Raw genomic sequence first — 25,096 nt, 5'->3', positions numbered from 1 at the left:
CCCTTAGTATTTATTGATCATTATTGGGTGTTTCTCGGAGAGGGGGATGTGGCAGGGTCATAGGATAATAGTGGTGAGGTCAGCAGATAAACACGTGAACAAAGGTCTCTGCATCATAGACAAGGTAAAGAATTAAGTGCTGTGCTTTAGATATGCATACACATAAACATCTCAATGCCTTACAGAGCAGTATTGCTGCCTGCATGTCCCACCTCCAGCCCTAAGGCAGTTTTCCCCTATCTCAGTAGATGGAACATACAATCGGGTTTTATACCGAGACATTCCATTGCCCAGGGATGGGCAGGAGACAGATGCCTTCCTCTTGTCCCAACTGCAAAGAGGCATTCCTTCCTCTTATACTAATCCTCCTCAGCACAGACCCTTTATGGGTGTCGGGCTGGGGGACGGTCAGGTCTTTCCCTTCCCACGAGGCCATATTTCAGACTATCACATGGGGAGAAACCTTGGACAATACCTGGTTTTCCTAGGCAGAGGTCCCTGCGGCCTTCTGCAGTGTTTTGTGTCCCTGGGTACTTGAGATTAGGGAGTGGTGATGACTCCTAAGGAGCATGCTGCCTTCAAGCATGTTTAACAAAGCACATCTTGCACCGCCCTTAATCCATTTAACCCTGAGTTGACACAGCATGTGTTTCAGAGAGCACAGGGTTGGGGGTAAGGTTACAGATTAACAGCATCTCAAGGCAGAAGAATTTTTCTTAGTACAGAACAAAATGGAGTCTCCTATGTCTACTTCTTTCTACACAGACACAGTAACAATCTGATCTCTTTCTTTTCCCCACATTTCCCCCTTCTCTTTTCAACAAAACCGCCATCATCATCATGGCCCGTTCTCGATGGTCGCTGTCTCTTCGGAGCTGTTGGGTACACCTGCAGACTAACAAGACAAAACAGGCACAAGGATTAATATGAAATTTATAATCGTAGTACATCCGATGGTCTTAACCCAAGTGACAGGGTTAGGATTTGCGAGGCCATCAGCAACTCCTGGGATTGCCTCAGTTCCTGGCACCAAATTTAAATAGGCTTTTGATGTTTCGAAAATTTGTTCTTTTAATTTGGAAATGTCTAAAGTGAGATTATTTTCTCTCCCCTGTAGATGGCGTCTAACCATGTCCCAGTGATGCTCTAACCATGTCCCAGTGATGCTCAGACTCATTATAAATTTGGGGTGTAATACAAAACTCTGACATATTCCAGTCACATTGTAACTGGAAACGATGTTCTAAGCTCATGAGCCTGTCTCCCATCCAAATGACAGTTTGTCTAAGATCATTAATTTGATTTGCCAATTTTTGATCAATACCAGATTGTGAATTCCACAATCTTGTAGAATTTTTTGCCAATCATGAACAAAGTTTACTGACTGAACAGAAGAGTGCAATGCAACTCCTGCCACAGCAGCCGTAGCTGTGACTGCAATTAATCCCATAATCACTGTAATTAAAGTAAAAGTGAATATTTTAGATCTATTTAAAAACACATTTTAATACTTCAGTCAAAATATGGACGGATGGTGAGGCCTCTCACGGTAGGTCCATGGACACAGGGATCCACACGCCTTCTCTTGCTCTCATCAGCAGAATATGGTGCTGCCAATTAAAAGTCAAATCAATGCAAGTAAACAATCTGCAATTTTCAGAGGTTATAGTTTGAGTCTGGTTTAATAACTATATTTCCTACAACTAGCATATAAGGGGGCTTTACACAACTTTGTAAAGGAACTGTTAGACTGGAATTTAGGTCGATAGTATAAAATGGCTTACAATCTCGTTTCTAAAGTTTGATTTCCAGACCAAATTCTATGAGGTATGAGGCCACAGTAAGCCTCCCTAATTCTGGATGTTCAGGACCAGAAACAGGACTTATTATTTTTGGTCTTGGGGTAGAGATTCCTTCTTCTCCCCATTCCCAAGGGTAGAAAGACTGTTATTTTTTATGCTTATGTTTGTCTAAACTTTCTGTTAAGTCGCTGTCAACAGCTGGACTCAACTTGTGCACTTGGACACGACTGAGTTTGTCCTGTGCAATTGTGGTAGAATTGACCTCGAGGTGCCCAATCTATAATAGTTCCGAATTCATTGTTTTGTAATATCACGGCACTATTGGCCACACATTCTTCCCAAACTAAAACTTCTGTGTCTTTTGATCCTTTGGGAATTTCCTTGCGGCAAGGTTTCCCTTTAGGTCTAAATTTTAATGATCTTTGATAAGAAAAGTCTTGTAAATAATTTACCTGAGTGGCATCCCGCTTACCATGTGTTAAGTGAATCTACTGACGGGACTGACAGTAGGTACTTCTACCAACCAACTTTGGACTGCAGGCATTAAACATCCTGGTGCTCTCCCTAGGCAAATATAGGAGAATAACGATACCCAGTGGAAATATTTATCATCATCCCTTCTTCCTCAGGTTTGGCAGGGCAACAATCATCTGTGGGGCCAGGTACCCATACTCTATCATTAACATATACTTCAATAGGATTATCCATCCATGTGGCTGGTGTTTCCATCTCCGTGGAGGCGATTTTCTTTGCATCTCTGATGGGTTCATTGTAGAACTTCAAATGTCTAGTGGGTATCCAAACAGGAAGCTGATTTTCTCCTGGTGAAATACAAGCAAAACCTCTCCCCCACATCACCACCTTCCCTATTTCCCATGTCTTATGTTTATTATCTTTCCACCAAATCAGTTTTTCTTCATGTGGGCTGTTCTTTTTACCAGTAAGATGTTGTCCTGCAGAAGTAGTAGTCTGATTTCTATAAATGTTTAAAAAATTTAAAGTATAGAGTGCTAGATTAAGTTGCATCTGAGGAGTGGTACATTCCTTACTGTCTCCCCCTTCTTTTTGTTTAACTAATTGAGTTTTGAGTGTTCTATTAGTTCTTTCAACTATGGGCTGTCCTTGGGAATTATAGAGAATTCTTGTTGTATGTGAAATTTTCCACTGATTTAAGAATTTTTGGAAAGCTTTACTACAATATCCTGGTCCATTGTCAGTTTTTTTTTTTTTTTTTTTTTTTTTTTTTGAGATGGAGTTTCGCTCTTGTTGCCCAGGCTGGAGTGCAATGGCGCGAGCTTGGCTCACTGCAACCTCCACCTCCCAGGTTCAAGCAATTCTCCTGCCTCAGCCTCCTGAGTAGCTAGGATTACAGGCATGCACCACCATGCCTGTCTAATTTTGTATTTTTAGTAGAGACGGGGTTTCTCCACGTTGAGGCTGGTCTCGAACTCCTGACCTCAGGTGATCTGCCTGCCTCAGCCTCCCAAAGTGCTGGGATTACAGGCGTGAGCCACCACACCCGGCCATTGTCAGTTTTGATTTTTTCTGGAACTCCCATTACAGCGAGACAAGATAATAAATGTTTTTTTAACATGTGAAGTACTTTCTTGATTATCTGGCCCTGAACAATGTAAAATCATAGTACTGTGATACACTTCTGAGGCTGTGCCTATGCTGACAAGTCCTGTAACAGCCTTTTGTTTAGGCCAATTTTTTGGCCACTGATTTAAAGCAATGATGGAGACATCTGCTCCAGTGTTTACTAACCCTTCAAACTGTTTTCCTTGAATAATGGCCTTACGCACAGGTCTGTTCTCTGAGACCCGACTTGCCCAATATGCAGCCTTTCCTGTCAGATCTGTGTTTCCAAACCCTGCTGTTCTTTTTATCTCACTATTTCCAACCTTAACATAAGGCAGGAGTAATAAATGAGCATTCCTGTCTCCTGGACTAGCACTCCAAGGAATTGAAGAGCTAATAACCAATTGAATTTTGCCTTTATAGTCTGAATCAACCATACCAGTATGAATTTGAATGCCCTTTAGATTTAGACTTGATCTTCCTAAGATTAGTCCTATAGTCCCCTCAGGCAGTGGGCCATATACCCCTGTGGGGATTTTTTGTGGGGGCTACCCTGGAAACAGACAAACTGCTTGCATAGTACATAAATCTACTGCTGCACTGCTGCTTGTGGCAGGGGACAATTGTTGTATTGTGGTAACTGGCTTATTTCCTGAGGTGCTTGGGACAGTGGGTGTTGTTGTCCCTGAAAACCCTGAGGAACAAAGGGCTGAATTGGGAATGCCCCAGTTTGTTGCAGGGCCTGAGGCTGGCCCCTTTGCTCGTGCCCATTTCTATCAAATTTAGAACGACATTGACTAGCCCAGTGTTTTCCTTTTTTACATCTTGGACATAAGTCAGGTGGCTCTTTACCTGTTGTTGTAGTAGCTTGAATAGTTATATTCTGTTTATTTGAGACTGGGCAATTCTTTTTTAAATGGCCAATTTGACCACAATTATAACATTTCCCTCCAAATGTTCTAACTTGCCCTCCTAAAGCAACTCCCGCTATTGCTTGAGCCATAAGCATAGCTTTATGCATAGCTCCTCCAATTCCATGACAGACTTTTACATAGTCTGAGATTACATCTGATTCGGCGGGAAACTTTCCTTTTAATGGCTTAATGGCTGATTGACACTCAGGATTGGCGTTTTCGTATGCCATCAATTCCACTATGACTTTTTGGGCATTTTCATCGGCAATTGACTTTTGAGCAGCATCTTGGAGCCTTGCCACAAATCAGGGTAGGGCTCTTTAGAGCCTTGTCTTATTGTATTAAATGAGGGGTAGGCGGTTCCTGGGTCTTGGAATTTTTCCCAGTCTCTAAGGCAAATAGCTCTAACTTGCTCAATGGCCTCATTTTGCATTACTGCTTGTTGATTAACAGTGCTCCAATTGTGACCTGTTCCTAATAGTTGATCTGCATCTATGTTAACTGGAGGATTGGCAGCCCTATTTCTTCGGACCTGTTCTTGTGTCCTATCAATCCACCAAGTCTTAAATTGTACAAATTGAGAGGGTGAGAAAGACGATTTTGCCAGAATCTCCCAATCATAAGGAATGAGTCTATGTCCATGAGCAATGGAATCTAATAATGTCCTCATGTAAGGGGAGTTGGGTCCATACTGTTTGACTCCGTCTTTCCTATCTTTTAGCATTTTTATAGAAAAAGACTTGTATCTGGCCTCAACTGTGGGAGGCTCTCCCTCTTGGGCCCCTTCTCCAGGTGGCATCAGTTCCAACATTACTGGGAATTGCCACACCTCAGTATCTCCTTGCTTTCTTGACTATAATTTTCTTGACAATAATTTTATGTAATGCACTACCCTGTCTACTAGGTGGTGCCATAGGATTAAGTCTCAAAGTGGGCGGCTGAGGGTGTGGCACCCTATTCTGTAGTGCTGGCAGCATTCCTGGATGTCCATACTGACTTTCTGGGGGTGGCTGATACTGAAGTTCAGCCAGTGGCCAGTATTGATAAGCTACTGGTGGTTGGGTCTTATTTTCTCTAACCTGCGTTTGAGGTTGTAATGTTATGGGCATCTGACCTGCTAGAAAAGGACTTGGCTCTCGTGGTTTGGACTCTGATGGCCTCACTAATTCTGGACCTTTTTCTTCTAATTTTAACGTTTCAGGATATATCACCTCCTGTAATTGTTTATAGTCAACATTTTGCATTGACTGAGCCATTACCGGCTCTGCTACATATTCGCACAATGTAAACTTTCCATTTTTTTCTGGGATTTTCTCCCTGTCTCTTCTTTACAATCTATTACACCACTTCCAGGGGCATCAGAAACTGAAATGCTATCTTCTTCTGTTTGAAATGGTTCTAAAAATGCTTTAATAATGGCCCAATCATTCCATAATGTAAGTGGGATGATTTTACCCTCCCTACCTGCTCGTTTTAGTTCTTTGCCAATTTTTTTCCAGTCTTTTAGATCTAAAGTTCCTTGTTCTGGAAACCATGGGCAAAATTGTTCTATTGTTTGAAATAGCTTGATTAGATTTTTTGTAGATACTCTAACTCCCCCTCTTTTTAAAAGAATTTTAATAAAGCTGGGATAAGAGGCATATTTACTTTTAGTTTGCCCCATTGTTACCCTGGCTTCTTCCGAGTGCACAAGCTTACCGTAAGGCTGACTGTAGACGTACTCAGGATCTCTTCGTCGACTTGTCCTCAATGACCACACTCGAGCGTACCTTCACCCTAGAGAAAAGCCTTGGGCACCAGATGAAGGGGTAGGTTGCCCCTCCACACCTGTGGGTGTTTCTCGTTAGGTGGAATGAGAGACTTGAAAAAGAAAAAGACACATAGACAAAGTATAGAGAAAGAAATAAGGGGGCCCAGGGGACCAGCATTCAGCATATAGAGGATCCCACCTCGGCCTCTGAGTTCCGTTAGTATTTATTGATCATTCTTGGGTGTTTCTCGGAGAGGGTGATGTGGCAGGGTCATAGGATAATAGTGGAGAGAAGGTCAGCAGATAAACACATGAACAAAGGTCTCTGCATCTTGAACAAGGTAAAGAATTAAGTGCTGTGCTTTAGATATGTATACACATAAACATCTCAATGCCTTAAAGAGTAGTATTGCTGCCCGCATGTCCCACCTCCAGCCCTAAGGCAGTTTCCCCCTATCTCAGTAGATGGAACATACAATCGGGTTTTATACCGAGACATTCCATTGCCCAGGGATGGGCAGGAGACAGATGCCTTCCTCTTGTCTCAACTGCAAAGAGGCATTCCTTCCTCTTTTACTAATCCTCCTCAGCACAGACCCTTTACGGGTGTCGGACTGGGGGATGGTCAGGTCTTTCCCTTCCCAGAGGCCATATTTCAGACTATCTCATGGGGAGAAACCTTGGACAATACCTGGCTTTCCTAGGCAGAGGTCCCTGCGGCCTTCCGCAGTGTTTTGTGTCCCTGGGTACTTGAGAGTAGGGAGTGGTGATGACTCTTAAGGAGCATGCTGCCCTCAAGCAGCTGTTTAACAAAGCACATCTTGCACCGCCCTTGATCCATTTAACCCTGAGTTGACACAGCACATGTTTCAGAGAGCAAGGGGTTGGGGGTAAGGTTACAGATTAACAGCATCTCAAGGCAGAAGAGTTTCTCTTAGTACAGAACAAAATGGAGTCTCCTATGTCTACTTCTTTCTACACAGACACAGTAACAATCTGATCTCTTTCTTTTCCCCACAAGAAAGCCCTACCTGGCACAACAGTTACAAAGTAACTTGCTGTCACTCATTTTCCTTCTAAAGGATAATTGCTGTTAATGGCTTTTTGTAAGTATTCCCAAATGGTCTATGCATATACAAAAATAAAACATTTATATGAATATAGGTTATGTATAGAATGGTCCCCTTTGTTTATCTCCAAATGGGAGCTACTTGCATATGCTGCAACTGCCTACTTATCATTTATTTTTGTCCTATATCACTATATATACTTCAGGCTCTTTTTTTTTTTTTTTTTTTTTTTTTTAGACGGAATCTTGCTCTGTCACCCAGGCTGGAGTGCAGTGGCGCAATCTCGGCTCACTGCAACCTCTTCCTCCTGGGTTCAAGCAATTCTCCTACCTCAGCCACTCCAGTAGCTGAGATTACAGGTGCCCACCAGGCCAGGCCAATTTTTGTATTTTTAGTAGAGACGAAGTTTCACCATGTTGGCCAGGCTGGTCTTGAACTCCTGACCTCAGGTGATCCGCCTACCTCGGCCTGTCAAAGTGCTGGTATTACAAGTGTGAGCCACCGCGCCCAGCCTTCGGGCTATTTTTTAATGGATTACCCAATTTGAGAAAAATTCTCTCTGGGAAATACTATAAATGAAATAGATGTGTTCTGAACAATCTGTAGGGTATCCAGTCTTCTAGATTAATGTTTCTCGCAATGTACTTGGCCCTCCGGTTTGTTCCCAGAGAACAGCTAGCATTTACTGAGTTATTCATCATGATACATGCACTGGATTGAGTGCTTCACCCAAACTTTCAATGGAATCTGTGTATCAGAACTGACAGGTAGTGACGATTGCATTCTCTACAAAGAAGAGGAAAGTGAGTCCTAGAATGGGTAATTCATCCAAAGTCGTAGCTTCCGCTAGCACCTTTCCATCCTCTCATAGCATCCTCTGTACCCTTTTATATCACCATCAAATCACTTTTGACATCTTTCATCCTATTAGCCACTGACTCCACAATTCTTATTTAAGATTACATCTTCGGGCCAGGCGCGGTGGCTCACGCCTGTAATCCCAGCACTTTGGGAGGCCAAGGCGGGTGGATCACGAGGTCAGGAGATCGAGACCATCCTGGCTAACACAGTGAAACCCCGTCTGTACTAAAAATACAAAAAATTAGCTGGGCGTGGTGGCGGGCGCCTGTAGTCCTGGTTACTCCGGAGGCTGAGGCAGGAGAATGGCGTGAACCCAGGAGGCAGAGGTTGCAGTGAGCCGAGATCGCGCCACTGCACTCCAGCCTGGGCAACAGAGCGAGACTGTCTCAAAAAAAATAAATAAATAAAAAAGATTACATCTTTGGTTAACGTTGTAAATCTGCTAGACTTTCTCATGCAATACTTGACTTCCAAATATTATAAAGCAAACAAACAGAACTAAGAAACTAGTTGAAGGTATATTTAAATTTTAATTTCAAAAGGGTCCCACCAAATGTCCAATTATATAGCTGCTGTGGTATTTTGGCAGTTCTTCAAACATAATCAGGTTGCATTAAATTCAGCAATTTTACTCCTTGATATGTATTTTTAAAAATTGAAAACATAGGTCAACAAAAAAACTTGTGCACAAATGTTCATAGTATAATAGCATTATTCATAATAGCCAAATAATGGAAACAAATCCAAATTTTCATTAATCTATGAATGAATAAACAAAGTAGTATAACAATACTGTGCAACATTAGTCACCCAAAAAAGGAACAAAATACTGACCCATGCTTCAACATTAGATGAACATTGCAGACAATATGCTTACTGAAAGAAACCAGATACAAAAGGCTACCATTGCATGGTTTCATTTATGTTAGTTAACCAAAATAGTTTATACAGTCAGAAAGGGGATGGATGCTTGGTTTCAAGGCCCAGAGGAAGGAGACCTCTCACTAGGCAAAGAATTCCCTTTGGGCTCATGAAAATGTTCTGGAATTGCCGGGCGCGGTGGCTCAAGCCTGTAATCCCAGCACTTTGGGAGGCTGAGGCGGGCAGATCACGAGGCCAGGAGATGGAGACCATCCTGGTTAACACAGTGAAACCCCATCTCTGGCCGGGCATGGTGGCTCACGCCTGTAATCCCAGCACTTTGGGAGGCTGGGGCGGGCGGATCACCTGACGTCGGGAGTTCGAGACCAGCCTGACCAACATGGAGAAACCCTGTCTCTACTAAAAGTACAATATTAGCCGGGCATGGTGGCGCATGCCTGTAATCCCAGCTACTTGGGAGGCTGAGGCAGGAGAATCCCTTGAACCCAGGAGGCGCAGGTTGCAGTGAGCCGAGATGGCGCCATTGCACTCCAGCCTGGGCAACAAGAGCGAAACTCTGTCTCAAAAAAAAAAAAAAAGAAAAAAAGAAACCCCGTCTCTACTAAAAATACAAAAAATTAGCTGGGCATGGTGGCAGGCGCCTGTAGTCCCAGCTACTCGGGAGGCTGAGGCAGGAGAATGGCGTGAACCCGGGAGGTGGAGCTTGCAGTGAGCCGAGATCAAGCCACTGCACTCCAGCCTGGGCGACAGAGTGAGACTCCTTCTCAAAAAAAAAAAAAAAGAAAATGTTCTGGAATTAGAAAGTGATGCTGGGCTGGCCTCAGTGGCTCATGCCTGTAATCCCAACACTTTGGGAGGATGAGGTGGGAAGATCACTTGAGGTTGGGAGTTGGAGACCAGCCTGGCAAACATGGTGAAACCTTGTCTCTACTAAAAATACAAAAATTATCCAAGTATGGTGGTGCACTCCTTTAATCCAAGCTAGTTAGGAGGCTAAGGCTGGAGTATTGCTTGAATCTGGGAGGCAGAGGTTGCAGTGCACTGAGATCATACCACTGCACTCCAGCCTGGGTGACAGAGTGAGGCTCTGTCTCAAAAGAGAAAAATGTAAACTACAATATTTGGGTTAGATTAATTTTTTTTTTTTTTTTTTTTGAGGTGGAGTCTCACTCTGTTGCCAAGGCTGGAGTGCAGTGGTGAGATCTCGGCTCACTGCAAGCTCCACCTCCTGGGTTCAAGCGATTCTTCTGCCTCAGCCTCCTGAGTAGCTGGGAATACAGGCGCACCACTACCATGCCCGGCTAATTCTTATGTTTTTTCTAGAGACTGGGTTTCACTATGTTGGCCAGGCTGACCTCAAGTGATTCACTTACCTCAGCTTCCCAAACTGCTGGGATTACAGGTGTGAGACACCGTGCCCTGCCATAATTCTTTTTTTGTTTGCTTTTTTGTTTTTGAAATGGAATTCCCTCTTGTTGCCGAGGCTAGAGTGCAATGGCACAATCTTGGCTTACTGTAACCTCCGACCCCTGGGTTCAAGAGATTCTCCTACCTCAGCCACCCGAATAGATGGAATTACAGGTGCTCGCCACCATGCCCGGCTAATTTTTTTTTTCTTTTGAGATGGAGTTTCACTCTTGGTGCCCAGGCTGGAGTACAATGGCGTGATCTCGGCTCACCTCAACCTCCGCCTCCCGGGTTCAAACGATTCTCCTGCCTCAGCCTCCTGAGTAGCTGGGATTACAGGCATGTGCCAACACGCCCAGCTAATTTTGTATTTTTAGTAAAGATGAGATTTCTCCATAATGGTCAGGCTAGTTTCAAACTCCCGAACTCAGGTGATCTGCTCTCCTCGGCCTCCCAAAGTGCTGGGATTACAGGGGCGAGCCACCACGCTCGGACAATTTTTGTATTTGTAGTAGAGTCGGGGTTTTGCCATGTTGGCCAGGCTGATCTCAAACTCCTGACCTCAGGTGATACACCAGCCTCAGCCTCCCAAAGTGCTGGGATTACAGCCCTAAGCGACTGCACCCGGCCTTGTCCTAATTCCTAAGGTGATATTTAAAGCAGTCTGAGGGCAGAATAGCAAGGTAACCTCAAGGGAACCAAAAAGAGGTTGGAGTTTGAGGGTCCCCGGCAAAGCTTCACTCAACAATGGTGCTATCAAATAATACAAAATACACAGCAAATGCTCTATTTCTGAAGTTGGGAGCAGTGCTCCATTGCCACAGGTGCTACAGCTTAGAGGAGAAGGCACCAGGTGCTCCTCCCACTCAGAGGCGGCATAGCCCTGGGACTCACCTAACCTCCCGCACCAAGTTTCCTGAACTGTGCAGTATGAATTAGAACAGGATTCATCTCACACCAAATTTAAATAAGATCCAGTCAATTAAAACAGCAACTGAAACAGTGTTGTCTGATTTTAATTTCCTAAATTTGGAGAGCAGCACTTTCCAGTGGCTTGTGTGGCATCTCCAGGAGCTATGTGGACATTTCAGAGATACCATATTGTTTTAAAGGAGTGCTGTCATGTACTTCCATTCTGAAGGGGGGGGTTGCCCCTCCACACCTGTGGGTGTTACTCCTTAGGTGGAACGAGAGACTTGGAAAATAAAAAGACACAGAGACAAAGTATAGAGAGAGAAATAAGGGGGCCCAGGGGACCAGCGTTCAGCAGATGGAGGATCCCGCCAGCCTCTGAGTTCCCTTAGTATTTATTGATCATTCTTGCATGTTTCTCGGAGAGGCAGATGTGGCAGGGTCATAGGATAATAGTGGAGAGAAGGTCAGCAGATAAACACGTGAACAAAGGTCTCTGCATCATAGACAAGGTAAAGAATTAAGTGCTGTGCTTTAGATATATATACACGTAAACATCTCAATGCCTTAAAGAGCAGTATTGCTGCCCGCATGTCGCACCTCCAGCCTTAAGGCAGTTTTCCCCTATCTCAGTAGATGGAACATACAATCGGGTTTTATACCGAGACATTCCATTGCCCAGGGATGGGCAGGAGACAGATGCCTTCCTCTTGTCTCAACTGCAAAGAGGCGGTTCCTTCCTCTTTTACTAATCCTCCTCAGCACAGACCCTTTACGGGTGTCGGGCTGGAGGACGGTCGGTCTTTCCCTTCCCATGAGGCCATATCTCAGACTATCACATGGGGAGAAACCTTGGACAATACCTGGCTTTCCTAGGCAGAGGTCCCTGCGGCCTTCTGCAGTGTTTGTGTCCCTGGGTACTTGAGAGTAGGGAGTGGTGATGACTCTTAATGAGCATGCTGCCTTCAAGCATCTGTTTAACAAAGCACATCTTGCACCGCCCTTAATCCATTTAACCCTGAGTTGACACAGCACATGTTTCAGAGAGCAAGGGGTTGGGGGTAAGGTTACAGATTAACAGCATCTCAAGGCAGAAGAATTTTTCTTAGTACAGAACAAAATGGAGTCTCCTATGTCTACTTCTTTCTACACAGACACAGTAACAATCTGATCTCTCTTGCTTTTCCCCACACCATTCCTGTGGAAATATATGGTTGTTAGAGAGGGGAAAACATCAATATAGATATATTTAAATTAACACAGCTAAGGAAACTCCGAGAATACAAGTGAGCTTTCCAGAAGTAGAAGTGATCAGACAGGAGTTTCATGAAGCTGGTGCTCAATATTCAACCCAGCCTGCTCCTCAAGCGCGGTGAGGTTTGGGACATTGGACGGTGGAGTCTGAGTTGGGAGGGAGCTGTGCTGAGCTAACAACATTCCCTTGTTATTGACTTAAAATCAAGAAATAAGATTCACCCTCAGTCTAAGTTACTTACCTTCAATAGGATCTTGAGTTTGAGGGTCTCAGTTCTCTCCAGTTAATATATAAATTTCATGTGTTTTCAAGCAAATGTTTACAAGAACTCTGGTGATGTGTATCTGGTGATAGTAAAATTCCTATGCCAAAGTAATTGTCCAGGAGGCATCGAAGCCATTCTAAATAAGGAAGTACATACAGAGAAGATGTATTTTCCTAGTTGCTATCAAGATTTATTATACCATCCTACTATTGGACCAGGAATACAGAAATAAGTCTTTGAAAACATAGAGCTCAAAGCCCCCATCTGTGCTTATACATTTTCTAAAATACAACGTGCTAAAAGTTGTGGACCGGTAGTTCAGGCAAATGAGGTAATAACTCACCCAGAGTGAATAATGGGTGAAGACTGGGAAGGTAATTTAATACCAGTGATTTTTGAGGTAGCAGCTGCTAGATCACAAGCTTTTTGCTAATATTTTTTACCCAGTGTCTTACTCAGCTTGGGCTGCTATAAAAAACTACAATAGACTTGGTGGTTTAAACAAGAGACATTTAATTATGACAATTCCAGGGGTGGACAATCCCAAGATCAGGGTGTCAGCCTGGTGGGCTTCTGGTGAGGGCCCTCTTCTGGCCTGCAGGCTGCCTTAGTGCTATAACCTTACAAGGCAGAGTGAGGTACCTGGGAATTCTTTTCCTTTTCTCAAAAAGATATTAATCCCATTATGGGGGCTCCTCCTTTAGGACCTCATCGAAACCTAATTACCTGATAAAGATTTCATCTCCTAATACAATTGCATCGAGAGTCAGGGTTTGGACATGTGAATTTTAGGGGGATGCAAACATCTAGTCCATGACTCCCAGTAATACTTTTGTTTTCAAGTAATACATATTTTTTAAAATTTACAAAATCCTACTCTTCACACTCACTGGCTGTGCTTGAGAACATTCCAAATGCACTATAGTACTTTCTCCCATTTGCACTAAGGAGCCCGGCTCCTAGAAACAGTGCTGGCCTCACAGTTGAATTAGAATTTAATGAGAAAGCAAAGACTTAGCAAATAGTAAACAGTCACAGTAGGGGTTTGGATAATATTTTTGTTAATTGACTGTGACCCAGAACTAGTAAAGTGAAAGGAAAAAGTAAAAATCACCCATCCATGATTCCACACAGATTTAGATTTATTTTGAAATCATTCTTCCATCACACAGACTTTTTCATGTATGGGTGTGTATTCACACAGTAGTATTACTACATATCCTAGACTAGCTTATATTTTTTCTCTTCACTTACATGTTACGGAAGAAGACAACTAGAGCTTATGCCTGCTGTCTCCTGGACCCTGCCCTATGTACATTTTTTCATTATTAATTTTAATCTACAGCCTTTCACCACAATAAATTGGGACTCAGAATGTACCAGTGTTTCCAAGTTCATTGAGTCCTTCTAGCATTTCACTGATTCTGAGATTAGTGTTAGAAAGCCCCCAACACAGAAATCAATTAACTTACCTTTCTGCAACAGCACAGGAGGTACAAGACTTCTCCACATATACAGATCCTGAAACTCCTACCAAGCATTAATTTCTTAAGAAGCTTCTTCTGAAGCTTCTTACATACATAACATATAGGACACATGACAATACAAAATTAGTAAACATGGTGAAATACATTTATTGGCACTGAGAATACAAAATTGGCAAGAAAAAGTTATATTTCTAGAGTCTTCCCTTTTGGAATTGCTAAACCATTTTGTAACTGATTCCCACATAATTTCTGTGAAGTAGAATATTCTGATTAGAATATTCTAATTATATTATAATTCATATATTATAACTAGTTTTTGGAACCAATGAAAAAAATAATTTTCATCTGCTTATTGACAAAAAAACACCCTAACTCTTGTAACATAATTAATCCTAACAATTAACTGAGGTTAAACAATGTCCGGAAATACTTTCAGGAACATGGAAAAAATATTAAAGAAGGCCGGGCGCGGTGGCTCACGCCTGTAATCCCAACACTTTGGGAGGCCGAGGCGGGGGGATCATGAGGTCAGGAGATCAAGACCATCCTGGCTAACACGGTGAAACCCCGTCTCTACTAAAAATACAAAAAATTAGCCGGGCAAGGTGGTGGGAGCCTGTAGTCCCAGCTACTTGGGAGGCTGAGGCAGGAGAATGGCGTGAACCTGGGAGGCGGAGCTTGCAGTGAGCCGAGATTGCGCCACTGCACTCCAGCCTGGGCAACAGTGAGACTCCGTCTCAAAAAAAAAAAAATTAAACAAGATGTGAATAGCCTTCCAGGTCATTCATCATTCATCTTAGATTCCACAGACTGTAAAATATTTGAAGTAGGTGTAGTAGTGATATAAGGCCAAAGGTTTTCTGTAAAAGTATCAGGGAAGGTATACATTTGGAGTCTATTGTTATTATTGTAGAATGAAACCTTTCCAAACGCAAAATCCAGAAAAAATGTCAACGTGCGCCAGTCCTCCCGTGTCCCTTGTGCCACATGGACTAATCTAGAGCTGAACTTGCCACTAGCCCTCACTGAGTGATGCTGATGTCAGAGCATCGCTGAAGAGACTCCCTGCACACTCCTGTAGCCCGGTGTCCTGTGTTTCTTACTTCTTCCTGCCAGTGATGCCTGCCAGCATCAAATCCTCCAGCGCTCAGGATAGTGAGGTGAGAAGAAAATCAGTATAGGTTGTAAGAAAAGTTTGGTTTCATTCTCCCATACGTCATATATTTCTCTCTTCTAATATGATAAAATTGGGGTGGGCAGTTTCAGGATCTAGTGTGAAATCTGCCTTCAATATGTTGATCATTTATGCAGGCCAACACATTGTGGAGAAAGACATCAACTCTCTTTAATTTCTTTAAAAACACTGCTGGAATTTTTAGGTTTTCGTATCTGTTGCGGATATTCTCAACACTTCTCAGGAACTCTACTTTGGACTAAACTTACTTGTCTCTTACTTAACTTAGAAGACTTTTCAGCATAAAAATATGGTGAAAAAGTAGGATGCTGCTTTCACTTGGTTTTTCTTTAACCTCCTTTCTCTTTCATAAGTAAAGTTTTTAAAATTGCACCTTACTCCATTGCCAGTAACCACCTAGTTTGTTTCAACTGAGAGTGGAATTCTAAGCTAAACTAAAACGGTCAGAAGACTTTAATAGACATCTAGCCCTAAGGAAAAATACACCCATAGCCAACAGGCATATGAAGAAAGCTAAAAATTACTGATCTTCAGGAAACATGCATATCAAAAAGATGAGGTATTACCTCACACCTGTCAGGATGGCTATCAAATAAAAAACAAAAGACAGGCTGGGAGCGGTGACTCACGCCTGTAATCCCAGCACTTTGGGAGGCCGAGGCGGGTGGATCACCTGAGGTCGCAAGTTCGAGACCAGCCTGACCAACATGGAGAAACCCTGTCTTTACCAAAAATACAAAAAATTAGCCAGGCATGGTGGTGCATGCCTGTAATCCCAGCTACTCGGGAGGCTGAGGCAGGAGAATTGCTTGAACCTGGGAGGCGGAGGTTGCGGTGAGCCGAGATCGCGCCATTGCACCCCAGCCTGGGCAACAAGAGTGAAACTCTGTCTCAAAAAAAAAAAAAAAGACAACTGTTGGTAATAATGTGGAGACATTATAACCCTTACACACTTTTTTTTTTTTTTTTTTGAGAAGAAGTCTCGCTCTGTCGCCCAGGCTGGAGTACAGTGGCATGATCTTGTCTCACTGAAACCTCCACCCCCTGGGTTCAAGCAATTCTCTTGCTTCAGCCTCCTGAGTAGCTGGGACTACAGGTGTCTGCCAACACGCCCGACTAATTTTTGTACTTTTAGTAGAGACGGGGTTTCACCATATTGGCCAGGCTGGTCTCGAACTCCTGACCTTGTGATCTGCCCACCTCAGCCTCCCAAAGTGCTGGGATTACAGGCATGAACCACTGCGCCCAGCCACCCTTACACACCTTTAATGGGAAAGAAAAATGGTGTAGCTGCTATGAAAACAATGTGGAAGTTCCTAAAAAAATCAAAATAGAATTACCATATGATCCAGCAATCTCACTTTTGAGGATTTACTCAAAAAAATTAAAATTAGGATCTGGAAGAGATACCGGGACTCCCAATGTTTACTGCAACAGTTGTCACAATACCTAAGAGGTGCGAACAACCTAAATTTCTATTGACAGATGAATGGATAAAGAAAATGTGACAGATGCATACAATGGAATGGAATACTATTCAGCCTTAAAATAGAAGAAAACTGTGTTCTATGTGAGAACATGGATGAACCTTAAGGTCATTATAATAAGGGAAATAAGTCAGTCACAAAAAAGAAATACTGCATGCTTCCACTTGTATGGGATATCTAAAATAGTTAAATTCATAAAATCTGAGGGGAATGGTGTTTGCCAAGGGTTGGGAGTAGGGGAAATGGAAAGTTACTAATCAACAGACATTCAATTTTAGGTAAACAAGATAAATAAGCTCTACAGACCTGCTGTAAGACCTTGATCTAGATCATGATCAAGAAGAGTGTATTATACACTTGAAACCTGGTTGAGTGGGTAGGTCTCATGATAAGGGTTGTTATGAAAAATATAATTTAAAAATGTATATGTGCCACATTTCACCATAATGTTACACACAATAGCAAAAAACCTGTAAATTTATTAACAATCCAACAATTGAAGTAATTTACTTTACATCCACTCTTAGAATATTATAGAAACTGTATAATCTCTTCTGCACACTCTCAGACTAGTGTTATAGAGAACAAAATCTTTTTTTTTTTTGAGTTGGAGTAGTCTGGCTCTGTCGCACAGGCTGAAGTGCAGTGGTGCAATCTCAGCTCACTGCAACCTCTGTTTCCTGGGTTCAAGCAATTCTCCTGCCTCAGCCTCCCTAGTAGCTAGGATTACAGGTGCTTGCCACCGCAACTGGCTAAGTTTTGTATTTTTAGTAGAGATGGGGTTTCACCATTTTGGTCAGGCTGGTCTTGAACTCCTCACCTCAGGTCATCTGCCCTCCTCAGCCTCCCAAAGTGCTGGGATTATGTGTGAGCCACCGCCCCCAGCCTAGAAAAAAGTCTTTCTAATCACCACTACAAGTTCAGGAGGTCCTCAAGACCACACTCAGGTTCAATAATTCACTATAAAAGCTCACAAAATTCAGCAAAGCTGATATATCATGATTTAGTCTGCTTTGGCTACCATAACAAAACACCATCATTGGGTGACCTAAAAAATAGAAATTTATTTCTCCATACTGTGGACACTGGGAAGTCCAAGATCAAAGTGCCAGCAAGACAGGTTTCATTCTGATGCCTTTTCTCTCTTGTGTGCACAGAAAGAGCTTGGTTCTCTCTTCCTCTTCTGATAAGGCCACTAATCCCATCATGGGGACCCCACCCTCATGAACTCATCTAAACCTAATGACTTTCCCAAAGGCACCGCCTTCATATTTTTTCACTGTACAAAATATAAAAGTGGCCACTTTGGGAAGTCATTAAGTTCAGATTAGGGCTTAAACATATGAATTTTGAATTTAAGAATGTAAAGACATTTTGAATTTAAGAAAATGTTGAATTAAAAAAAATTTTAATCCCAGCACTTTAGGAGGCTGAGGCAGGTGGATCTCCTGAGGTCAGGAGTTCGAGACCAGCCTGGCCAACATGGTGAAACTCCATCTCTACTAAAAATAGAAAAAAATTAGTTGGGTGTGGTGGTGCACACCTGTAATCCCATGTAATCCCAGCTACTCGGGAGGCTCAGGCCAGAGAACTGCTTGAACCTGGGTGATGGAGGTTGCAGTGAGCCGGGACCGCGCCTTTGCACACTGGCTTGGGCAACAAGAATGAAACTGTCTCAAAAGGAAAAAAAAAAAAATTTGAATGTAAGAATGTAAGCCCTAAGAATTAAGGCTTAAACATATGAATTTTGGTGAAACACACATATTCAGTGCATAACAACTCATGAGTACAGTTTAATAGAAGAAAAGAACACACTGAAATAAGCAACAGGGAAGAATTGTTGGAAGATAGAGAAGTAGGAAACATCAAGAATCTTTTTTCCTACCTAGCCAGCAATTGCGCTAACAAAATCTCTCTGATGAAACTATTGTGGAACTCTCTGGAGTCTTTTTTTTTTTTTTTTTTTTTTTTGAGATGGAGTTTCACTCTGTCACCCAGGCTGGAGGGCAGTGGCGCAATCTCAGCTCACTCCAACCTCTGCCTCCTGGGTTCAGGCAATTCTCCTGCCTCAGCTTCCCAAGTAGCTGGGATTACAGGCGTGTGCCACCACACCTGGCTAAGTTTTTTGTATTTTTAGTAGAGACGGGGTTTTACCATATTGGCTAGGCTGGTCTCAAACTCCTGATATTTTGATCCACCCACCTCAGCCTCCCAAAGTGCTGGGATTACAGGCATGACCCACCGCACGCAGCCTCTGCAGTCTTTTTTCACGCTTGGAAATTCCAGGGAAAGTCTTGGAAGATAAACTGCCATTAATGTCAGTCCATTTTAGCTTTTATCTTAGCATCAGCTCTGCATGGAAATAATGAAACAAAAATACTATACAGAATGTAGAAAACAAATAGCAAAATGACAAAAGTAAATCCCTTCTTATCAGTTATTATTTTAAATGTAAATGAATTAAATTTTTAATCAAAGACAGAATGGCAGAATTAAGTCTAAAATGATCCACATATATATAGTCTAAAGGATATTCAAAGTGAATATCCTTTAGACACAAACAGGTTGAAAGTGAATGAATGAAAAAGGTATTCCATGCAAACAGAAACTAAAAGAGAGCAGTGGTCATCATACTTGTATCAGACAAAACAGACATTAAATCAAAAAGATTCTAAGAGACAAAGAAAGGAATTATATGTTAATACAAGATTCAAAACAGAAGATGTAACAATTATAAACATTTACACACCTAATAACAAATGATCTGGTCGGGTGTGGTGGCTCACGCCTGTAATCCCAGCACTTGCAGGGGGCCGAGGCAGGAAGATCACAAGGTCACGAGTTCCAGACCAGCCTGGCCAACATGGCGAAACTCTGTCTCTACTAAAAATACAAAAATTAGCTGGGCTTGGGGGCAGGCACCTGTAATCCCAGTTACCTGGGAGGCTGAGGCAGGAGAATCACTTGAACCCAGGAGGCAGAGGTTGCCATGAGCCGAGACCACACCATTACACCCCAGCCTGGATGACAAGAATAAAACTCTGTCTCAAAAAAAAAAAAATCAAAATTTATGAATCAAAATTTGACAAAATAGAAGAGAGAAATAGACAATAACAGATGGATTTTTTTTTTTTTTTGAGACAGAGTTTTGCTCTTGTTGCCCAGGCTAGAGTGCAGTGGCATAATCTCAGCTCAATGCAATCTCCGCCTCCCGGGTTGAAGTGATTCTCCAAACTCAGCCTCCCAAGTAGCTGGGATTACAGGCACCCACCATCACGCCTGGCTAATTTTTGTATTTTTAGAAGAGATGGGGTTTTGCCATGTTGTCCAGGCTGATCTCAAACTCCTGGCCTCAGGTGATCCACCCACCTCGGCATCCCAAAGTGCTGGGATTACAGGCTTGAGCCACCGCGCCTGACCACCTCCCTCTATAATCTTACTTCTGCCCTCAGATAGAAACAGAAAAAAAAATTTCAGATTAGTTTATAGATAATCAGTATGTATTTATGTTAACAAAATATGTTTTATATGTATTTTACACTACATTTACCATACCAGACACTGTTCAAAGTGCTTTAACTCATGAAAACTCATTTAGTCTTCACAAATCTAAAAAGTAAGTTGAACTATTATTGCCCCATCCCTCCTTTTTTTAACCAGATGAGAAAGGCAGAAAAAGATAACTGCTAAGGTTACACAAGATAGAGGAGGACAGAGCATGGATATGAACTCCTGGAAACCTGGTTCTAAAGTCAAGTCTTCACCACTGCTCTTTATTTTCTTCCTCTAACCTGCAGAAGTACACAGACACACATGTGTATGCACACACATATACACATACATACACATATCAAACTACCTGTAAAAAGTCTGTTATGCGTCCTTACAGGCCTTTACATATTTTTATGGACAGGAAGAGGGAGAGTAGTCTGCTAAATCCAGATGGAATAGACATAGAGCAAAGCTACAAAGCATCTTAGAATGTAACAGGCATGAAAAATATTCTTTAGCTGAAAAACTAGATCACTGATAAACTTGGAACAGTCTCAGTGGAGGAGTAAAGATGAAAGCCCGATTGCTTCTGAACTCTTCTTTTTTTTTTTTTTTTTTTGAGACGACGGAGTTTCACTCTGTCGCCAAGGCTGGAGTGCAGTGGCACAGTGTCAGCTCACTGCAACCTCTGTCTCCTGGGTTCAAGCAATTCTCCTGCCTCACCCTCCTGAGTAGCTGGGATTACAGGAGCCCACCACCATGTCTGGCCAGTTTTTATATTTTTAGTAGACATGGGGTTTCACCATGTTGGCCGGGCTGGTCTCAAACTCCTGACCTCAGATGATCCACCCACCTCGGCCACCCAAAGTGCTGGGATTACAGGCATGAGCCACCGCACCCAGCCCTGAACTCTTGTTGTAGGGAAGAACAAAATTCTTAGGGCAACTGGTCTAGAAGAGTAATTACATCACATCTCTTTAGGTTAATTAGCATCTAGCAGGTGGGCCCCATCCAGTTAAATTATGCTGTATCCTATGAGGTATAGTCAGCCTTGCAGGATTCAGTGCCATATTGATGGGGTTCCCATATTAAGTATTTATTTGTTTATTTATTTATTTATTCACTTACTCATTTATTTTTGGGACAGAGTCTCGCTCTGTCGCCCAGGCTGGAGTGCAGTGGCGCCATCTTGGTTCACTGCAACCTCTGCCTCCCAGGTTTAAGCAATTCTCTTGCTTCAGCCTCCTGAATAGCTGGTATTACAGGCGCCCATCACCAGGCCTAGCTAATTTTTGTATTTTTAGTAGAGACAGAGTTTCACCATGTTGGCCAGGCTGGTCTCGAACTTCAGACCTCAAGTAATCACCTGCCTCGGCCTCTCAAAGTTTTGGGACTATAGTCGTTGAGCCACCATGCCTGGTCTCTTAAGTTATTTTTCTTTTTTAAAATTTTACTTTAAGTTCCGGGATACATGTGCAGAATGTGCAGGTTTGTTACATAGGTATACATGTGCCATGGTGGTCTGCTGCACCTATCAACCTGTTATCTAGGTTTTAAGCCCCGCATGCATTAGGTATTTGTCCTAATACTCTCGTCCCCTTGCCCTCCCACCCCCCAACAGGCCCTCATGTTTTGTTGCTCCCTGTGTCCATGTGTTCTCATTGTTCAACTGCCACTTTTGAGTAAGAACATGAGGTGTTTGATTTTCTGTTTCTGTGTTAATTTGCTGAGAATGATGGCTTTCAGCTTCAACTATGTCCCTGCAAAGTACTATGTCCCTCAACTATTTCCCTCATTTTTTTATGGCTGCAGAATATTCCATGGTGTATGTGTTCCACATTTTCATTTTTTTTTTTCTTTTTGAGTTGAAGTCTCGCTCTTGTCCTCCAGGCTTGAGTGCAATGGCGCCATCTCGGCTCACTACAACCTCCAGCTCCCGGGTTCAAGCGACTCTCCTGCCACAGCCTCCCGTGTAGCTGGGATTACAGGTGCTTGCCACCATGCCCGGCTAATTTTTGTATTTTTAGTAGAGACAGGGTTTCACCATGTTGGCCAGGCTGGTCTCGAACTCCTGACCTCAGGTGATCCACCTGCCTCAGCCTCCCAAAGTGCTGGGATTACAGGCGTCAGCCACCACGCCCGGCTATGTTCACATTTTCTTTATCCATTCTATCACTGATGGGCATTTGGATTGGTTCCAAATCTTTGTTATTGTAAATAGTGCTGCAATAAACATACGTGTGCATGTGTCTTTATAGTAGAATGATTTATAGTCCTTTGGGTATCTTAAATAATTTTTTTTTTGGTGACAAAGTCTCCCTCTGTCGCCCAGACGGGAGTGCAGTGGCGCGATCTCGGCCCACTACAACTTCTGCCTCACGGGTTCAAGCAGTTCCTCCCCTGAGTAGCTGGGATTACAGGCAGGCGCCACCACGCCGGCTAATTTTTGTATTTTTAGTAGAGATGGGGTTTCACCATGTTGGTCAGGCTGGTCTCGAACTCCTGACCTTGTTATCCGCCCACCTCGGCCTCCCAAAGTGCTGGGATTACAAGCGTGATTTTTAATGCCACGTACTGTGACAGGGAAAGAAACCACCCTGCTGGCTGCATAGTTTGTTTAAATAGCATAATATACAGGGTGGGTGCAGTGGCTCACACCTTTAAGTAATCCCAGCATTTTGGGAGCCCGAGGCGGGTGGATCGCTTAAGCCCAGGAGTTTGAGATCAGCCGGGCCAACACAGTGAAACCCCCGTCTGTACTGAAAGCACAAAAACTTAGCCGGGCGTGGGTGGCACGCGCCTGTAATCCCAGCTACTCTGTAGGCTGAGGCAGGAGAACTGTTTGAACCAGGGAGGCTGAACCCGCGAGGCGGAGCTTGCAGTGAGCCAAAATGGCGCCATTGTACTCCAGCCTGGGCGAAAATAACAAATAAATACCATGCACTCACCTCACTGCAAAGTAATATGGGGGAAGCTGCTGCCACTGGTATTTCTTTTCCTTTCTTTTTCAGGAGACTCTGGAATTTCAAAAGGTTTACGAACAAGGACTTTGCTTTATCGGTTGATTTGTCTAGGTCACACCTCTATTCAACTGTCCACCATACACCCTTTCTAGGATATATTAAAGGCATCGACGGGTCTTTATTCCACAATTCAAATCTTAGTACTTCATGTTTAAAATGCTTCACTGGCTTTTCTTTGCATTTGATAAAAACCAATATCCTCAATTTTGCCTAAAGGGCCTTGCAGCATTCATTCTCGCCTATCTCATCAGCCTCACAAAGCCATTTTCCATATTTTATACTTCTTGCAATTTCCCACGTTGTAGTGCCAACCAAATGACCTCTTTCAGTTCCTTTTGTACCAAGTTTTTAAAAATTATCATCTCTAGGCAGGGCGCGGTGGCTCACGCCTGTACTCCTAGCACTTTGGGAGGCCGAGGCGGGCGGATCACGAGGTCAGGAAATCGACACCATCCTGGCTAACACGGTGAAACCCCGTCTCCACTAAAAATACAAAAAATTAGCTGGGCGTGGTGGCAGGCACCTGTAGTCCCAGCTACTCTGGAGGCTGAGGCAGGAGAATGGCGTGAACCCGGGAGGCGGAGCTTGCAGTGAGCCGAGATCACGCAACTGCACTCCAGCCTGGGCCACAGAGCGAGACTCCGTCTCAAAAAAAAAATAAAAATAAAAATAAAATTATCATTTCTGGCTGGGTGAGGTGGCTCACGCCTGTAATCCTGGCACTTTTGGGAGGCCGAGGCGGGCGGATTGCCTGATCTCAGGAGTTCGAATCCAGCCTGGGCAACACGATGAAACCCCGTCTCTACTAAAAATACAACAACAAAAAATTAGCCAGGCGTGGCGGCGTGCGCCTATAGACCCAGCTACTCGGGAGACAGAGGCAGGAGAATTGCTTGAAACTGGGAGGCAGAGGTTGCAGAGAGCCAAGATCGCGCCACTGCACTCCAGCCTGGGCGAAAGAGAGATTCCGTCTCTTATTAAAAGAAAAAAAAATCATTTCTAAAATATTTTGTAGACGCAGGGTCTGGCAATGTTACCTAGGCTTGTCCTGAACTCCTGGCCTCAAGCGATCCTCCCACCTCTGCCTCTGAAAGTGCTTGGATTACAGGTGTGAGCCACTATGCCCGGCCTGTACTAAATTCTTTAAAGTTGAGAGGCTCCACATTGGCTCTTCTTCCAGCCTTGAAGACTTTGACCGTGGAATTGATCCAACGAATGCCTCTTCATCCCTCAAATTCCGCCTGAAATGTCACTTCCTCAGGTAAACCTGAGTTCATAGGGTAGGGCACAATCCCACAGGGTGGGAGAGATCCACCCACTCACCCACTGAGATGCAAACTAATCCAAAGGGGCTTCTATTCCTCTTTCAAGCATAGGGAGTGCTCAACGACTCCACCCTGCGACCCCAGGCTACGGGAAGCAGTTGACCCTGCAAAGCTCTCCACTCCCTCACCATCTGGGAGGGGACGCTGTGCTGGTGAAGCTTTTAAAACCAACTTGCAGACTTACTTGGACCCTCAAGTTTACTCATATACATAAAAAGTGATAAGAATCCGAAAAGACAGCCAGGGGAATTAAATGCCAGTTGGGGCCAACGGGGCCCTGATCACGGAAGAGGGCGCCCCCAGCTCTCAATCTTCACACAATCCCTGCACCCAGGGTCACAGAGCATGCGCAGGTCCTTCCCGCCCACTTCCGGGGCAACTGCCAACC

The 25,096-nt window shown here is 43.4% G+C and overlaps 7 annotated features.

The window, feature by feature from the left end:
- Window positions 665-1,419: an enhancer, noted in NCBI's record as "NANOG-H3K27ac hESC enhancer chr4:165922487-165923241 (GRCh37/hg19 assembly coordinates)". NCBI's record gives its function as "activates a minimal SCP1, AML or CMV promoter by ChIP-STARR-seq in naive H9 embryonic stem cells {active_cell/tissue: H9 hESC(naive)}" and the evidence as "EXISTENCE:reporter gene assay evidence [ECO:0000049][PMID:30033119]".
- Window positions 4,953-5,733: an enhancer, noted in NCBI's record as "H3K27ac hESC enhancer chr4:165918173-165918953 (GRCh37/hg19 assembly coordinates)". NCBI's record gives its function as "activates a minimal SCP1, AML or CMV promoter by ChIP-STARR-seq in naive H9 embryonic stem cells {active_cell/tissue: H9 hESC(naive)}" and the evidence as "EXISTENCE:reporter gene assay evidence [ECO:0000049][PMID:30033119]".
- Window positions 5,734-6,516: an enhancer, noted in NCBI's record as "H3K27ac hESC enhancer chr4:165917390-165918172 (GRCh37/hg19 assembly coordinates)". NCBI's record gives its function as "activates a minimal SCP1, AML or CMV promoter by ChIP-STARR-seq in naive H9 embryonic stem cells {active_cell/tissue: H9 hESC(naive)}" and the evidence as "EXISTENCE:reporter gene assay evidence [ECO:0000049][PMID:30033119]".
- Window positions 6,532-7,401: an enhancer, noted in NCBI's record as "NANOG-H3K27ac hESC enhancer chr4:165916505-165917374 (GRCh37/hg19 assembly coordinates)". NCBI's record gives its function as "activates a minimal SCP1, AML or CMV promoter by ChIP-STARR-seq in naive H9 embryonic stem cells {active_cell/tissue: H9 hESC(naive)}" and the evidence as "EXISTENCE:reporter gene assay evidence [ECO:0000049][PMID:30033119]".
- Window positions 11,063-11,756: an enhancer, noted in NCBI's record as "H3K27ac-H3K4me1 hESC enhancer chr4:165912150-165912843 (GRCh37/hg19 assembly coordinates)". NCBI's record gives its function as "activates a minimal SCP1, AML or CMV promoter by ChIP-STARR-seq in primed H9 embryonic stem cells {active_cell/tissue: H9 hESC(primed)}" and the evidence as "EXISTENCE:reporter gene assay evidence [ECO:0000049][PMID:30033119]".
- Window positions 24,819-24,878: an enhancer, noted in NCBI's record as "active region_22114". NCBI's record gives its function as "activates an Ori minimal core promoter by ATAC-STARR-seq in GM12878 lymphoblastoid cells {active_cell/tissue: GM12878}" and the evidence as "EXISTENCE:reporter gene assay evidence [ECO:0000049][PMID:35858748]".
- Window positions 24,909-24,988: an enhancer, noted in NCBI's record as "active region_22113". NCBI's record gives its function as "activates an Ori minimal core promoter by ATAC-STARR-seq in GM12878 lymphoblastoid cells {active_cell/tissue: GM12878}" and the evidence as "EXISTENCE:reporter gene assay evidence [ECO:0000049][PMID:35858748]".

This window comes from Homo sapiens, chromosome 4 (assembly GCF_000001405.40).
Source record: "Homo sapiens chromosome 4, GRCh38.p14 Primary Assembly".
Taxonomy (NCBI): domain Eukaryota; kingdom Metazoa; phylum Chordata; class Mammalia; order Primates; family Hominidae; genus Homo; species Homo sapiens.
This window is presented reverse-complemented; position numbering and strand designations above follow the sequence as displayed.